This window comes from Homo sapiens, chromosome 5 (assembly GCF_000001405.40).
Source record: "Homo sapiens chromosome 5, GRCh38.p14 Primary Assembly".
Classification (NCBI taxonomy): domain Eukaryota; kingdom Metazoa; phylum Chordata; class Mammalia; order Primates; family Hominidae; genus Homo; species Homo sapiens.
Window position 1 is genome coordinate 94,228,934 of NC_000005.10, and position 15,718 is coordinate 94,244,651.

Here is a 15,718-nt window from a genome sequence, read left to right on the forward strand (position 1 = left end):
TCTGACCATTCCAGGCCCCACCCAGCCACTCCAAGGATGAGAGAACCAGTTTCCCCACATTTATAACCCATTCACAGCTCTGGTCTTTTGGGACTTGGAGATTTCCTGTAACCTTTAATCCAGACTGTCTAGACCTACAGCACAGTCATCATGCTGGGACTTTTCTTTGCTTCCCTCCTGTGTTAGATTTCCTGCTTTCTGAATCTAACTCTTTCTTGGTTTGCTCCATTATTTTGCCAATGCAATATTCTAGTACTTTCTTTTAAAACCTGTTCATAAGAGGTAAATATTTTGAATCCTTGTATGTGTGAAAATGTCTCTATCATGCTGTCTGAATTTTGAAAGCAAGTCTTTGGTTTTCAGTGTTGCTTTTGAGGTGAGCAATGGTATTCTGATTCCCAGTGCTCTCTATTTAGCCTGCTTCTTCTTCTCTTGTGGATTTTAAGATCTTCTCTTTATCCCCAGAGAGTTATAATGTTCGTGATGATGTACATTGGTATGGGTCTCTTTTCATGTATTGTACAAAGAACTTGGTAAATCCTTTTAATATGGAACTGGTCCATATTGAATTTTTTTTTTTTTTTTGGTATTAGATGTTTGGTAATCTTCTTTCTGACAATATTTTCTGTTCTCTTTTTTTTTGAAGGAGGGACTCCTATTATTTGGGCGTTAGGAAGACATCTCGAATTGTTATCGTTTCCTGTATTTTCTACATTTTTTCTTTTTGCCTTATTTTCTAGCAGAATTTCTCAACATTATCTTTCAAACTGCTATAGAATATTTTAATTTCTTGTTTTCTTATAGGTCATTTTTTATTAGTGCCTTGTTCTTGTTATAAGAATCCAATAGCTATTCTTAATTCTCTGAGAATATTTATTGTAGATTTTCTTCAGTTTTCTTCTGCCATCTAATGCAGGTGTGTCTTCAGATCAGATCATTAGATCTCTAGATCATTAGTGATACTGTATCTCTAATTCCTATGGGTTCTTTTTTTTCTATTTCTCTCTTTTGATTTCTTTTATTCATGTTAGAGATTTGCCTCAAGCATTTAGGCTATCTAGGTAATTCTAGGCTATCATATTTAAATCCAAATCCCTAAAGAACTCTTTGGAAGATATGTGTTCGTGGGTAAGCATGAAGGAGGTGGGGCTGTCAATTGAGGGGTTTCACTGGAGCTGGAATTTTTGTTTGAGGACTTCCAAATTTTAGTATTTGAGGCTCTTGTCTCTAGGGCTGTTTGGTTTCTCCAGAAAAGAATCTCCCACTTGGAAGGTAAATTACTGGCAGGTAACCATTCTAAGGACAAGGGGGCAGATATTCATTTCTTCTCGTGTTTTCAGTTCCATTAATCACCCTCAACCTAGAGTGTTCCTAATGGAATTAGTTTTAGAAATAAGTCTTCTATATCCTATGGAGGAGGAAATTGTGGACTCAGAAACTTCCAACTTTCTACTATTCTGCCTTCCAAGATAACCAGTGCTTCTGAATCTGGAGTCTTTCTGGAATTCTGTTGGGCGAATCCCCCTACTTTGTAAGATTCTCTTTTCCAGATACTTAGGTTATAACCTCCACTCTTGCACTTGTTTTATGTTTTTCAAATTCCTGATATCTCTCAACATTGTTGTCTTCTCTGCCATTCATTTTGTCTTCATGGGTTTATACTTTCAAAAAATACCATTTCTGTTATTTTTGTGAGGTCTCAGAAGATTCTTCCATATCTAACAGTCTGCCATATTTAACAAACAGTTCTCAATGAACTTTAAAGATTATTTAAATAAAGGCAAAGGTATGTATGGGCTCCTTAGTTTCTTTTAAAGCCATGTAAACCTACTGAGCTCAGTGAAACATTTAGGAAGCATGGACAGAGCTAGGTACTGTGCCACTCATACACATCAGATCTTCCTCACGTCCTTCCCAATATTTTCACTGTTACATGCAACATAAAATATTACTGTTTTACTCTTTCTGGGATTAGTTTAGATTAGTTTCAATTGTTGTAGCCTCCAAATAGATATTGATGCCATGAAGCCACAGGTGTTCAGAAGATAGGGATAATGAGATAGAAGATGGGCCAATGAAAAACCTTGACAGTTTCCCTCTAGAAATAAAGCTAGGAAAGAACACATATGTTTACCCAATAGAAAGTTTTCCCATGAAAAATTCTGAAATTTTTCCGTTCAGGATGTTGTAGTAACTGAAGCTATGAGGAAAGACTGCATAATTTTTATTTCTTTAAAAGGGGGAACTGTAAAAAGGTCATAACATTAATCAGTGTTCTATGTGTCTCAACAGGGCATCAAGGTACATCTTGGTGTTGAATGAAGTTGTTCCATATGGGCTCATTTCTCAGGTAAATATCAGAATAAGTTTATGTGGGCAGTAAACTGATATGTACCCAAACACCTGTCACCATTAATACATAATAACCTTTTTGTGTTTGAAGAAGATATTCGATATCTTCCATATTTGGGAGATAGTCTGAAATACTGCACCCTGTTTATTAGAAGGGTAGTTTCTTTCAAACGTGAATCAAACAGTTAAAAAAACACATTTACATTACTTTGCTTTCTGTAGTTCACTAAGTACATAAAGAAGTAAGTTCACTAGGTACATAAGAAAGCCTGAAGGTAATAATGGAAAATTTCTTTATCTAGCTATCTGGAAAATTGCTTTCTTATGTAACTATGAAAATTGTTGCTGATCTTTGGTTTGTATTTTTGGTTTAAATATTGAAGATATTAAGATTCTAATCATTACGTATCTGGATGGATGTTCAAAGAGCTAAGTAATGTTTATCATGACATTATTTAGACAAAATATTAGAGACTGAGTAAATGTCCAGTTATAGATAATTCAAATAATATATTTTGGGACATCCATTCCATGAAATAATTTGTGGACATTTAACATGATAATGTAGAACATCAGCTTTCTGATGGGATGTGTTAACACTTGTGTATCTGGTTAGAGATATAACTAACATGTTGGGAACTGTGTATAACTGGAAGCCTATCGTATCTGTACTACAACCCGATTGTCCAAATCTGAGCACACCCTTTGAATTTTTTATATGTTGCTTTGGGGAAGAAAATAGAGAACTCTTATGAAAATAATGTTTAATGATATGGCAAGTAATACAGAATAACTAAAGACAGAAGAAAATGAGCTGGATTGCCAACTCATGGCAGCTACACAGAATTGTAGGCATTCATTTAAGAAGGTACATTAGGTATCAGACAAATGGTCAAAGAAGCTTACCACTAGTACAAATATTAAAGAGCATAAATTGTTTGAAAGCAGAGAATTGTCTAACTTGCAGAGCAGTTATTTTTCCATATATACCTTTGTGAGGCTATATTTTCTGAAGTGTTATTTCAGTTGTTGGCCTTGGAATTTGTTTCCGTTTTCTTCCTTTGTTACTTTAAAGGAATTAAGGTCAGCTGATGTATTTTTACTCTCCACGTTTGAATTTGAGGCAGAACAATTCCCATGGAGAATTCTTGTGGAACTTCATTTTAGTTATGTTTTAATAAAGTCTTATTTGTATTGACTTCTGGGGCAGCATGGCATTCCCTAACTGATAAACTACTTGGGTTTACTTTTTTTATGGAGGGATTTTAATTTAATATGATAGATTCAACTGTTGTTTTTCAGGTTTTATATGCATGCCTGGAAGCCTTTTAATAACTTGCAATAACAAACAAAATGAATGTGACTTTTAGGGTAGACACTTTTGTAATTGATATTTTTATCAACTCAGGATGTTTATTTGTTTTGCCAAAAAATGAAGCTCATTTTTTTCATCCTTGGGGAATAAAAAGTAATGGAATTATAATTTACTAAAAAGTTGCAAGAAAGATTCCATAGTTGGAATGAAAAAAATTCATACAGATATATTTCTTGCTCTCTAGACATAAGATTCTTGCATAACTCACAAAAAGTACAAGATTTTTTCCCTTATCTTAATAAATTCATTTGCCTTCCTGTATAAAAGTTAGGGATCAAGGAGTAATAGAATATTTTAAAAAATATTAACAGGGAGTAATTAAAGTTTGCATGGACTAAAATACTGCACAGGAAATTATATTGTTTTAATTTTTAAAATTATACATTTTTTAGTACTGAAGAATGGGATTTTGGACACAGAAGTGATTTTGATAAGTGACAGAATTCTGCCGAAGGCCAGAGGCAAAAAGAGGCAAAACAAGGAACATAAAAATAGAGAATCTACAAATTAGCATGTTATAATTACTCTCTTGCATAGCATTTAAGGACATCTTTGAAAAGATTCAATGTCTTCAGCAACTGTATCTAACTAGCATGTACTATAACTCAAATTGACATGATTCCTAAAGAGAAGCATCGGGACAACTCTTCTATAGTGATGAGGCATTACTGAACAATGTTTTTGGTTGATAAACAGTAATAGAAATTTGGGATTAAAATGGCCTTTTCAAAGGAGTAGGTCATTCCTATGAAAATAATAGATACTTAAATTTATCTCTCATTTCTTGTTTGTGTTTGTGCATTAGTCAACTTGACACTTCAAGGATCCTTAATTTTTATGAAGATGGTAGCATGCTGGTAACATTTTTGAAATACCTATTTTTTTGAAAGCCTGTATCTTACCTTTCCCCAAGACTGAATATAAGTTGTCATGATAGTTACAAGGCTGATGAAATACTGAATGAATTGTGGGAGGAGTGGTTGCAGCAGGGGTTGCATGGTGAAGAGGAGGCAAAGGAATATGAGGATTTCAACAAGTTGCTACAGTGAATAGTGCTTTGTCTCAGCCCTCCAGAAACAAAAGTGATAGCTGGTATTTATTAAGTTCTGCTGATAACTTGGAGAAATAAAATTCCTGAGTTTCAGTTTATTTGTAACTTATGGCTCAGTGATTTTATTTCTCCAAGTACTCTCTATATACATAAAGGCTTACCTGTTTTATTGTGCTTTGCTTTATTGTGCTCCACAGATATTGCATTTTTGTTTTTATCTAATGACTTGAAGGTTTGTGGCAACCTTGCATCAAGCAATTTTATTGACACCATTTTTCCAACAGCATGTGCTCATTTCATGTCTCTGTACCACATGTTGGTAATCGGCGATATTCAAAACTTTTTCATTATTATCATAATATGTATTAAAGTGGGCCGGGCGCGGTGGCTCACGCCTGTAATCCCAGCACTTTGGGAGGCCGAGGCGGGTGGATCACGAGGTCAGGAGATCGAGACCATCCTGGCTAACACAGTGAAACCCCGTCTCTACTAAAAAAAAAATACAAAAAATTAGCCGGGCGTGGTGGCGGGCACCTGTAGTCCCAGCTACGCGGGAGGCTGAGGCAGGAGAATGGCGTGAACCCGGGAGGCGGAGCTTGCAGTGAGCCGAGATCGCGCCACTGCACTCCAGCCTGGGCAACAGAGCGAGACTCCGTCTCAAAAAAAAATAAAAATAAAAATAAAAATAAAAAAATAAAAAAAAAATATGTATTAAAGTGATCTATGATCAGTGGTCTTTGGTGTTTGTATTGGGCCATTCTTCCATTGCCATAAAAAAATTCCTCAGACTGGATAATTTATAAAGAAAAGTGGTTTAATTGGCTCATGGTGCTGCAGGCTTTACAGGATGCATGATGCTGGCATCTGCTTGGCTTCTGGTGAAGCCTCATGGAGCTGTCAATCATAGCAGAAGCAAAGGGGAAACAGGCACATCACATGAAAAAGGCAGGAGTGAGGTGAGGGAGAGATGTCATACACTTAAATGACCAGATCTTGTGTGAACTCAGAATGAGAGCTCACTTATCACCAATGGGATGGCCCAAGGAATTCATGAGGGATCCACCCCCATGATCCAAACACCTCCCACCAGCCTCACCTCCAACATTGGGGATTACAATTCGACATGAGATCTGGGTTGGGACAAATATCCAAACTATATCAATGTCACTATTGTAATTGTTTTGCAGGGGCATCAACTGCGCCCACAGAAGATGGTGAACTTATTTGATAAATGTTATGTGTTTTCTGACTGCTCCACCAATCAACTGTTCCCCTGTCTCTCTCCCTCTCCTTGGGCCTCCCTCTTTCCTCAGGCAAAAAAAAAAAAAATTGAAATAGGCCCATTAATAACCTTACAATTGTGCCTAAGTGTACAAGTAAAGGAAGAGCTGCACATCTCTAACTTTAAATCAAAAGCTAGAAATGATTAAGCTTAGTGAGGGAGCATATCAAAAGCCAAGACAGGCCAAAAGCCAGGCCTCTTGCACCAGGCAGGCAGCCAGGTTGTGAATGCAAACGAAACATTTTTAAAGGAAATTAAAAGTGCTACTCCAATGAACACATGAATGATAAGAAAGTGAAACAACCTTATTGCTGATATGGAAAAGGTTTTACAGTCAGGTAGAAGATCAAACCACCACCAACATTCCCTTAAACCAAATCTTAATCCAGAGTAAGACCCTGTCTTCGATTCAGTGAAGGCTGAGAGAGGTGAGGAAGTGTCAAAAGAAAAGTCTGAAGGTAGCAGAACTTGGTTCATGAGGTTTAAGGAAAGAAGCTGTTTCTATAGCATAAAAGTGCAAGGTGAAGCAGGAAGTGCTGATGGAGAAGCTGCAGCGAGTTATTCAAAGGATCAAGCTAAGATCACTGAAGAAGGTGGCTACACTAAACAACAAATTTTCAAAGTAGATGAAACAGCCTTCTATTGGAAGAAGACGCCATTTAGGACATCCATAGTTAGAGAGGTGAGGTCAATGTCTTGCTCCAAAGCTTCAAAGGACAGGTTGCTTCTTTTTTTAAGGCTAATGCAGCTGGTGAGTTTAAGTTGAAGCCTATATGTTCATTTACCATTCCAAAAATCCTAGGGCCCTTAGGAATTATGCTAAATCTCCTGTGCTTGTGCTCTATAAATGGAATAATAAAGCTTGAATCATGGGATATCAGTTTATTGCATGGTTTACTGAATATTTTAAATCCACTGTTGAGACCTACTGCTCAGAAAAAAAGATTATTTTCAAACTTACTGCTCCTTGAAACAATGCACCTGGTCATCCAAGAGCTCTAATGGAGATGTACAAGGAGATTCATGTTGTTTTTATGCCGCTAACACCACATCCATTCTGTAGCCCATGGAACAAGGAGTAGTTTCAACTTTTAAGTCTCATTATTTAAGAAATACATTTTGTAAGACTACAGCTGCCAAAGATAGTGATTCCTCTGATGGACCTGGGAAAAGTCACTTGAAATCCACCTGGAAAGGATTCATCAATGTAGATGCCAATAAGAACATTTGTGACTTGTGGGAGGAGGTCAAAATATCAACAATGAACAGGAGTTTGGAAGAAGTTGATTCCAACTCTTTGAGATGTTTAGGACTTCAGTGGAGGAAGTAACTGCAGAAGTGATGGAAACAGCAGGAGAACTTGAATTAAAAGCAGAGCCTGAAGGTGTGAGTGAATTGCTGCAATCTCATGATAAAGCTTGAAAAGATGAGGAGTTGATTCTTATGAATGAGCACAGAAAGTGGTTTCTTGATATGAAATCTACTCTTGGTGAAGGTGCTTTAAACACTTAAAAAGACAACAAAGAATTTAGAATATTTCATAAATTTAGTTGAGAAGGCAGTGGCAGGGTTTGAGAGGATTAAGTTCAATTTTGAAAGAAGTTCTACTGTGGGTAAAATGCTGTCAAACAGCATCGCATTCTACAGAGAAGTATTTTATAAAAGGAAGTCATTTGATGTGACAAACTTCATTGTTCTCTTATTTAAGAAATTGCCACAGTCACCCCAACCTTCAGCAACCACCACTCTGACTAGTTAGCAGCTGTCAACTTCGAGACAAGACTCTACACCAGCAAAATTATTATGTCTTGCTGAAGGCCCAGATGCTCCTTAGTATTTTAAAGCAATGAATTATTTTTAAATTAAGTATGTACATTGTTTTTTAGACATAATGCTATTGCACACTTAATAGACTACAGTATAGTGTAAACGTAAGTGTTATGTGCACTGGAAAAACTTTGTGTGACTCAGTTTATTGAAATATTCACTTTATTGTGGTGCTCTGGGACCAAACTGACAATATCTCTGAAGTATGCCTAAATAGGCTATATGTGTGTGTGTGTGTGTGTGTGTGTGTGTCTGTGTCTGTGTGTGTAAGTTCTCTATATGTATAGGCGATGCAGATCTCACAGATTATTGTGAGCATAAAATTATATAATATATGCAAAAGCCATACCAAGTTAAACTATACAAAACTATTCAAGGCTTACAATCCGTAGGTATACTTTCATAAACTGAGCTACACTGAAAAATCTTGCAGGATTTTTGTGTTCCTCATGTGATGGACACACTAAAGAGAAAATGTTGTGTCATAAAAATAGAGTAAGATGAAAAGAAACACTGCTTAATGTAGATGTCATCTACATCATCTGAGACTCTTGGGATGTCATACGTTGCAAAGCAGGCAAAGGGGGAACAACTACAAAGGCTGCAATGAGGGTGCAAGCTCAGTGTGTTTGAGGAAAAGAAAGCAAGCCAGCAAGGTAAAAGCGAAAGATGAAGTTGAGGGAGCCCTCCCGTCAAACGCCAAGATATTCTTACCACTTTCCTCTAAACACCCCTGGCATTTTCTCTCTTACTCGCTTGGTTTCTAAGTATATAATCTTGTATTATCCCACTTTAGTTGGTAGTATACATTTTTTACCACAGGCTCTTTGATGGACTCCATATCTTGGACTCTATATCTTAAGGCTCCTTATGCTCTTCACAGCACTCAGTGAAATGCTTTGCCCGTAATAGGTACACAACAAGTAGTATTATAATTGTTGATGAAGCCCAATGATATAAACTATTCTTCCTAGCAAAACAGAATAAACTAGAGACCTGCAAAAGTGAATGTCCTAAGTAGGAGGTGGCCCTGTAGATTAGCTCAGTCTAACAGTGGTGAACAGTTTGAAAATAGAGCTTTTGAGTCTTCTGTATTCACTGGATTTCATTTAATATCAATATCTAACAGAGCTCATTACGTGTCTGAAACTCATGAAAAGTTTGCTGAAATTCATCAAATGGCACACTTAAGATTTGTACATTTCATGACATGCAGATTTCTCAGAAGAAAAAAAGAACTGTAAATTAATTTTGCACTCTAGTTAATGATAAGCACACTGAAGGATTTCTGGAAAAATATAACGATGGCTGTAACTGACTTTGAAATGCATCAAAAAATTATATGGATTGATGGATGGGTGGCAAGATGGGCAGGTATATGAAAAGGCAAGTGTAGCAAAATGGTAGCTCAAGATCATGGGTGTTCAGGTATTCACTGCAAAGTTATTTCAACTTTTCTATAGGTTTGAATTTTTTATAATATGAGGAAAAGTCAGTTGAAAGTGATAACTGAAAATTTATATTAACAAAATGATTCAGTTTATAGCCAATGTGCTCTCAGTTTTATACATCTGAGCTTTCAGAAAATCTTGTGATTCTTATATAAATCCAAGATATAGTCTGTTAACTTATGACTTTGAAAAGTGCCCAAGGAAGTATTGTAATCAATTCAACTTATTGCCTTCATAAGTTAAGAGTTTTGGTTATGTTCACTTATGTTTTTCTAATCATGGCTATGTCCCTGACAAAACTTTCTAATCTATACTGAAAAATTTTAGTCATTTGTGATGGTTAATGATAATTGATTTTTAACAATCCATATTACTTATTGAATAGTACATTCTTACCTTAGCATTTCACCACGAGCGAAGCCAAAAAGTACAATCAACACAATATATCAACAGTCCCTCCCTCTCTCTCTCTCTCTGCCTGCATTCCCATGTTTGTCTTCCCCCATTTCTTTCTTTTTTCCTGAGGCAGAGAAATTACATAGCTTAGGTAAGCATGACATTTAAATGGGAGGGAATATGATCAACGTTAGTGCAAGATTAAAATTCTATAACTAGATTTATCTTCTTTTAGAATGAAATATCTAAGAAACTGTGGCACATTTGTGCCACTATATAACATAAAGAAAGTTGAACAATTTCTTCAATTTGCAGAACTTTTGGTTTCTACCTTTGTCATCTAAGTTCTGAACAGTTTATTTTAATGTATTCCTTTTGTGTATGTAAAAGTTGTTCTTTAGTTTTTCTGTTAAAACAACAGAATGCACTCTCATATTAACACTTTTATAACCTAGGAAAAATGAATGGAATGCCTGTCTGAAGTATACTTCTAACTTTCATTTTGTAATACTGACAATTTGTATCTTTGAAGGAGACTTGGAGTGACAGCACTATAGTAACCCCGCTTCATCGGGGCCAATCTATAGAAAATGTTTGAAATCAGTGGAATTTCTAAGTTTTCAAAAGGTCTACACAGGTGTCAATAAATATGAGAAACGGTCTCAGAGTTCTGTGTAAATGAATAGGTTGTATGTATTTTAAGGCAGTCTTACAGGAACACATTGAGAGATCTGGCATTCTGAAAATCAAACATATGTCATATCAACATTCCTAGTACAAAGTATTTTGTTACTGTTTCTGCACTCTAAATAGCCCTGTGTAAAGGCACATCATTGAACCAAAGCATATGGAGGCAGCTATTCAGTTATGCTGAGCTATGCTGCAATATCATTTTGCTACTGCCTTACTCACCTATTTCTACACGTTTGCCAATGGAAATTTCTGCTCTAGAAATTATACCATGGCAAAGAGAAAAGTAAATACATGAGGTTTGATTCCATTTCTCAAGGCATATCAATATGAAACAGTGCTATTGTCTGTTTCCTGCAACTGCTGAATCAACAAAACATATGCACCTATGCCTTAAGGAAGGAGTAACTCTTTAAACTGCCCTTTTTATTTACAATTACTTAATTACTTTATTTTGCCAAAAATAAAGGTCATTAAAATCATCTTGAAGCTTGACTTAAATTTCAGAAGTAGCCTGCAAATAGTTGTACAGTCTTTAACTATGTTCCATTTAACACATTTAATAGATGTAAAAGCTCACAAGTGATGATATAAAGGATAATTTACGCTTGCAATGCATTTTTGTCCAATTAATAGATTGCCTGTGTGTTGCATATTTTGCATGACAAAAGAGCAGAATATTAAACTGCCATTCATAATGAAAATGCACTTTGCAAATTAAAAGTGCCGAAACAGAAATTTTTCACCCTGTTTAGGAAATAAACAGTCCTTAACCAATTAAACTGCATTGTAATAATTCTATGATTTATTGCAAGTTGTTTAACTTTCAAAACTCGGCTAACCCATATTAAGGTCACAATCCATCATGTCTTGCTTGGAAAGCCAGCAAATAATGGCTGTTGTATTAGCTGCTTTTGATGATAGTATGAAAGAAGTATTAGCACTTGTCAACAAAACTGCTTACAACATAACATTAGCATGCATGGGCTGCTGTACCTATTTATTATTCTGGCAGCTTCACACATATTGTTACAAGCTTATAAAACATTTTGTCGGGTGGAAACCGAATGTACACTGTTTGGTTTTCTGATAGACTGGCAGCATAAATGTCTGGGCTGACTTAGTTTAGTTTAAGTGTAAATAGAGACACAAATTCTTCAACCTGTTCTCTTATTGATACTGAAAAGTGCTGAATTATTCAGCATCCAACTCTTCTGTTTGTGTCTATCACAGTTATCAATTACCCATCAGTCTTCTTGTCAAAACAGAATGGATTAATCTGGCTGAAAATAAGACAAATAAATGGATACTATAACAGGGGTGTGGGGTTGCCAGACTGTCAAAGGGAAATCCAGGCAGTGACATTTGCCGTCAAAAATGGGATCTCTGGCTTAAGTGAGCAAATGATTCCCTTCGTGAGCCAAGAATGCACTTAGCTCACCGTAAGTAAATTAATCTGCCTTCTTCAACTGCTAATGCATTAGCACTGAGGTAATAGTTCCATTGCCGAAATTCCTTTATGTTTCAATAATTTTGGTCATTGCTATTGTTTCTCACAGGAAAGGCAGATACATTCAGATACTTTATCTCGGTAAATAAAAGGTTGCCTGGTAAATAAATGAATCCATTTAACAATGAAGTTATTGCTGATAGTTTTGTGCCACTTCATAGCTCTCAGCTGATGTGACACCAAGTAACTCTTTGCACAGATGGCTGGTGGAATCCATCCAGCATCTGCAAAGTCCATCCCTGTTTTCTTTCCCAAACATTTTATTTGGAAATCTTGTTTGGCAGACTTCCTGAGACTCTGCCTGGCTGTTCAAAGTACATATTTCCAATCTATCTCATTTGGCCCTTCTATAAAAAAAGAACCAGCAAAGTGCCTTCTGATTTGGCACAAAAATTTCAGCCACAGACTGAAGCAAGTTTTAGGTTCCTGGCCAAAAATTTACAAGAATTTCATCTTAGATGCTTCCATACTGGACTGTTTTACATAGTCATCATTAACATCTGAAGCCTTCACATCACGACAGGATCAAAGCCTCCCAATCTGTATCATCTGATAGCTTCACTTTGCCAAAAGTTCCCTCTTGTTCTTATTTTCCCAGACATTTCGTGTCCTAACAATTGCAGACATTGTACTTACTGCGGGGTGGTGAGTAATTTAAGGACAGCTACCTGCTGGAAAATGGTTCCATTCACTTGATGATGAATGAACAGATTACTTTAGAATGAATCATCATCTTTTTTCTTTTTCCAGTAGATTGTGTAAAGAATTTTAAGCATTTAAAAATAAAATACCCTTCCTACATTTGGGGAGTTTCAAAGAGGTCGTACTAAAACTTGAATTCTAGGTACAACTTCTGCTATCCTCTTAAAAGACTTAGACAGACTGGAAATTTCCATCTCACATTCCCAGAACATTATCTCAAATTTCTCCTCAATGTAAATCAGGTTCCCAGAACTTCAACATTAAAAAGAAATGTACTAATTGGCCCAGTCACAATTTACTTTTCATTTGCTTTGTATATAATCCCAAGGTTACTTCATAGAAGCACTGCTTGAAATAAGGCAGTGTTTTTATTACCAGTAGATTGTTTTACTTTATCTCTCTCTCATTCTTCCTTTTTAAAGCAAATAACTCATTTATATGGAAAGAGAGCATTCTACAAAATTTTGCATGGCCTAAAAGTGTTTTCAAAGTTTTAATTTTTTTCTAGAATTAATTCTTTGCTACACTAGAAACTAAGTTGATTGACAGGTATGTATAATGAACTTGCTTCCAAATTCCAGATGTTGTTTCCCACTCTTGAGGAACATTTCAAAGTATACGGTTGCCATTTCAGATTCAACTTGTCCCCATCTAAACATTCTCTTTCTCTGGTTCCCTTTTTCCAAAATCCCAATTAGTTACTAAATCCTGCAGTCTGCCTCTATAATATCTCTTCTGTTATTCTCCTTTCCATTACCACTATCAGCATGCTTTCATTCCCCGCTGATTCATTTGGATATTCATGCATGCACCAGCTCACTTATTCAACAATTCTTTGAGCACCTAACGTGAGTGGTCTCTCTGCTTCTAGTCCTTCTAACACTCTTCCCACCCCAGACCTCAGCCCTCATTCTGAAATGCCTTCCACCTATCCTACCCATTAAATATCAGTTCAAATGACATCTCCTTGTATATTTTTCTTTCCTTCCTTCCTACCTTCCTTCCTTCCTTTTTTTCTTTCCTTCTTTCCTTTCTTCCTTCCTTCCTTCTTCCTTTCCTTTCCTTTTGCTTTTTCCTTTTTCTTCTTGCTCTGTTGCCCAGGCTGGAGTGCAGTGCTGCCATCTCGGCTCACTGCAACCTCTGCCTCCAGGGTTCAAGTGATTCTTCTGCCTCAGCCACCCAAGTAGCTGGGATTACAGGTGCCTGCCACCACACCTGGCTAATTTTTGTATTTTTAGTAGAGATTAGGTTTTGCTATGTTGTCTGGTCTCAAACTCCTGACCTCAAGTGATTCACCTGCCTTGGCCTCTCAAAGTGCTGGGATTACAGGTGTGAGCCACCTGCTTGGCCCCTTGTACATTTTTCTTATTGTCTCACTTATATGGAATTTTTTAGTTCTTCAAGTCTGTTGAGCATTTTTCTGTTTCCTTTGTCATAACTAACTTGGTAGAAATCCTGTCTCTGACACTTACTAGCTGTGTGATTGTGGGCAAGTTATAGAAACAACGGAAGCCTCAGTTTCTCCTCTAAGACCTGAGATATTATCACCCCATGGGTTGTGAGTGTTAAATCAGCTAATGCATGTAAAACACTTAGAACAATGCCTGGCGCACAGTGAATGTTCATCAAATTCTTGCTTGTTATATTAATGCACACAGTAGGACTTGGAAACATATGTTTTAACCTTTGTGGGTTGAGAGGTAACAACTGTAATTGCCTTTGGTAAAGGGGCTTAAAACTATACTTATGATCCTGAATGGCAGGCCTTGCAGGGTATAACATCCTGGGCTGAACAGTCTGGAGCCATGCTGTTTGGCTTCATATCCTGGCCTTTACCATTTGCTAGCTTTGTTTAAGTGGGAAGTAAGGCAGTTGAAAGTTTCTATACCTTATAGGTAGTTGTTAAGATTAACTGAAAGTAAAATGCTTAGCAGAGTGCCTGGCCCATAGCAAGACCTCCATAAGTGTAGCTGTCATTACACTAGAAGGGTTCCAAAATGTTCCTTGATCTAATTTTATGTGGTGAAAAAGGACTAGTTAAATGAATGCACAATTCCCTGAATTACTGTCACATCTCCTAGGTCCATAAAATCTTAGAGTGTTTCGAAGAGGTTACACTCATTTTCTGGCCTTGTGTCTTCCCTCATACTCATCCCTCCCTTCCCTGCCCCACACATCTAGGAACATCCTCCCTGTTTACATCCATCTTTGTGAGTTTAAGAAGCTTGTCCCTACCGCAGGCTTTCTGACTAAGCTAGCCCTCAAAGATTTATCATCTAAATGCCTGAAGCATTTAGCAGTTTTTACCACAAAATTGAGCTCTTAATTATAAATCGTCTTGCAGTGTTTTCTCTGTGTTTGATTTGGCTCTCCAGAGATATTTCACTATCTTTCTGCTTCCTACCTCTCTTTTTTCAGGAATCCACAAAGCTCTCTGGATAATTTTCCTGGCCTGTCATGGTGACCATGCCACTTGTCTTCCAGGTATTAGCACGGGGTTCTGGTTCCAGCCAGGCTTCTGGGCTTGATTGTCTTTAACCTAACCATATGAAGAAGGTCTTGCAGCATGAGATAGGCCGTTGCTATTTGCCAAGTCTGTGTTTGTGCACCGGGAAGAATTTTCCTTCTTCGTAAACTATATTTCTACTACCTCTTAGAATAAACCATATCTTTATTCTACAGACAGCTTTACCTGATTGAAGCAGAATTATGTTGTGTGAGAAAATCATGGACTTGGAAGCATTCAAGTTTTGGGTTTGAATCTTGGTTTTTTGTGGGGAGGGAACAGGGTCTTGCTCTGTCATCCAGACTGGAGTACAGTGCCATGATCATAGCTCACTGTAGCCTTGAACTCCTGGGCTCAAGTGATTCTCTCACCTCAGCTTTCTGGCTAGCTGGGACTACAGGTGTGCACCACCATGCCTGGCTAACTTAAAAAAATTTTTTTCTTGGAGACAAGGTCTCAGTATGTTGCCCAGGCTGGTCCTGAACTCCTTGTCTCAAGCAATCCTCCCATCTCAGCCTCCCACATAGCTTGGATTACATGAATCTTGGTTTTGTCACTTACTGTGACCTTTGGCAA

General features: G+C 37.0%; 1 protein-coding gene and 1 long non-coding RNA gene across 7 annotated transcripts in view; one reads left to right on the forward strand and one right to left on the reverse strand.

Annotated features, from left to right (window-relative positions):
• The window catches only part of LOC105379087 (uncharacterized), a 140,268-nt gene that overhangs the window by 117,342 nt on the left and 7,208 nt on the right, over positions 1-15,718 (forward strand). For 2 of the 4 annotated variants that reach the window (XR_001742443.2, XR_948580.3), the window contains exons 5-6: positions 2,293-2,350; positions 4,120-4,500. This is a non-coding gene — a long non-coding RNA (uncharacterized LOC105379087). Of the gene's footprint in view, positions 1-2,292; positions 2,351-4,119; positions 4,501-15,718 lie in introns of those variants that run through there. The other 2 variants (XR_001742441.2, XR_948581.3) reach the window with 1 other exon arrangement.
• Positions 1-15,718, reverse strand: part of KIAA0825 — a 467,754-nt gene that overhangs the window by 78,083 nt on the left and 373,953 nt on the right. The gene's annotated exons all lie outside the window — the stretch shown is intronic.